Below are 2,240 nucleotides of genomic sequence, written 5' to 3'. Positions count from 1 at the left end.
GGGGTGAGATATGGCCATACCGTCCTGGGAGGTGTGGCTGTCATCTAGGAGAGACAGCCACGTGAATCAGAAGTGAGTTCAGCTGCAGAAAGGGCTCCACGTGACTGACACACTTGTGGCCGAAGGATGCCAACCCTGTGAACCTAGAGGCTTTTCCATGGAAACAGGACATCGTGGAGACTCATCACGGGGCCTGGAGGAGGCAGGATGAGGGCCCAGCTGAACTCTGCTGCTGTCTTGCTCTGTGACATTGAGCTGCTCAGCTGGCCTCTCTGAGGCTTGGTGTCCTGTCTCTAGACTGAGGTGCTTGGACTAGAGACCTCTAAGGTCCTCTCTGCTCTAACATTTTACAAGGCTGAAATAGACCCATTAAAATGTTACCCAGCTGTCTGCAAATGCCACCATATTGCCAACTGTTTAATGATAAGAATGTCTTCCTTTGTTTTAAAAGATGTCACTTGCTCACCTTCTGAGCACCAATGGGTTCTTTCTTTGTGACCTGATCAGTGCAATTAGTAAGTGAATATTTAACACCTGAAAACCAGGCTGGAGTCCCTTTTTTGCCCTTTTTTCACTTCACTCTAACCTTGCTTGTAAAATAGAGCTAATGAACATCAAGTTCGTCATGAAGGTTATAAATCCATATGCAAATGCCTTGGGTACCAGCGACCACAGAAGGTGACCAGCGAAATATGGCTATCCCCATCCTTAGAAGCAAGCAAGGTGAGGCTACCTCTAATCATGCTGCTTCCCACTATTGAAACACTGCCTATACTTTCTGACTTGTGAGTTTCCTTTGTAAAAATTAAAAACAAAGAAATATTTTCATAGAAACTCTCTGTGTATCCGAAATAGCCAACTAAATCAAGTCTGAGTCCTGCTGACTGAGTTCTATGTCATAAGTCTAAGCATCTCTGCAGAAGATAATCTGCTTAAAATAACCATCTACTTGGAAATCTATAAATTGCAAGTCATGATGAGAGTGATCCATGGGAGACCCTCCCAGGGGACACTTCCCCGCACACAAGTCCTGGGGTGATTCACAGCTTTGCATCTTAGGAAAATAAGTCAAGAAATTCCAAAGAGGCCTGTCAGCTCCGCGCCAGTCTTCAGTGCATTCCGAAAGATGCTTTGATCTAATTTATGAAAAGAAGCGCTGCTGGCTTGAGGAATGGAAACAGACAAACTCCCAAGCAAGAGAGCATCAGCAAATCATCAGAAGAGCTGCAGCGTCTCCTGGAGCCAGCATTCAACTCGGAGAATGTGCTAATCCCAGCTGTGCAGCTAGGTGTGAGCCCACCTCCCGCTCACACGCTGTCTCCAGGATCCCTATTTCTGGACCAGCCATGCTCTTGTTCACTTAGAACCCTATAGAAGGATTTAGGGCAAGGGAGCAAGGTTGGACCTCTGTTCAGACTCCAACGCACCTGCAAAGTCCCTCTTGCCTCCCGTCAAGTTAAAAGTCATCATGAATCCCAGGCCGGGACTGGCTCCATCCTGTCTGTAGAAGCTCTACTGACCCTCTGCAGAGGCAATTCAGCACTTAGCCGGTGCACATTCACATGCACCCCAGAGAACTTGGGGATCCCACATCAATGGCTTTGGCAATGATTGAGGTCCCTTCCTGAACTATTTCTGTAAGAAGATCAGCATTTTGTTTTGAGAAATAAACAATGGAGTGTTGATTGTCAATGAAAAGCCTAATTTTCCTGTAAGAGGTATGACATAATTAGAAGAACTTCATATTTGATTTGCTTTGGAAATTAATACAACATATAACATTAGTTTGGAAATTAATGCAACCTGTTAAAGGGTTTTTAAAGTGTATTTTCCAATTTAGACGTCCGATCTAAGGAATGTCATAGAATACGTTAGTTTGTGTTACAGGAAATAGTGGAATTGTTTCCTTGTCCAAAAATGAATCCAGACTTGCTAATGCGTCCAACCCATTGGGAATCATGGTTTTAAAGGTGGTTTTACAATAATCAGAAGAACAGAGTGAGCAGGCATCCTGCTGAGCAGCCTCTCTACAGCCCCGCGAGGCCCTGGTGGCAGATGTCCCTGGTCTTGGAGCCAGCACTGGGATCAAAACTCCTTCTCCAGCCTGGGATTCCTGAGCTAGTTGTGTCACTTGGTACAGATTCCCCCAGGGTTGTCAAAGGAGCGCAGTGCGTCCTGATTCTCGGAATTGAATGGGGAAGGGTTCACAAGGCCCGGGTCAGAGGAAAGGACTGTGAGGT

General features: G+C 45.9%; 1 annotated feature.

Annotated features, from left to right (window-relative positions):
* Nucleotides 486–1,685: an enhancer, noted in NCBI's record as "CDK7 strongly-dependent group 2 enhancer chr10:132642120-132643319 (GRCh37/hg19 assembly coordinates)". NCBI's record gives its function as "activates an origin of replication core promoter dependent on BRD2, BRD4, P300/CBP, MED14 and CDK7 cofactors, with strong dependence on CDK7, by STARR-seq in HCT116 cells {active_cell/tissue: HCT116}" and the evidence as "EXISTENCE:reporter gene assay evidence [ECO:0000049][PMID:35650434]".

The sequence above is a fragment of the Homo sapiens genome, chromosome 10 (genome assembly GCF_000001405.40).
Source record: "Homo sapiens chromosome 10, GRCh38.p14 Primary Assembly".
Taxonomy (NCBI): domain Eukaryota; kingdom Metazoa; phylum Chordata; class Mammalia; order Primates; family Hominidae; genus Homo; species Homo sapiens.
This window is presented reverse-complemented; position numbering and strand designations above follow the sequence as displayed.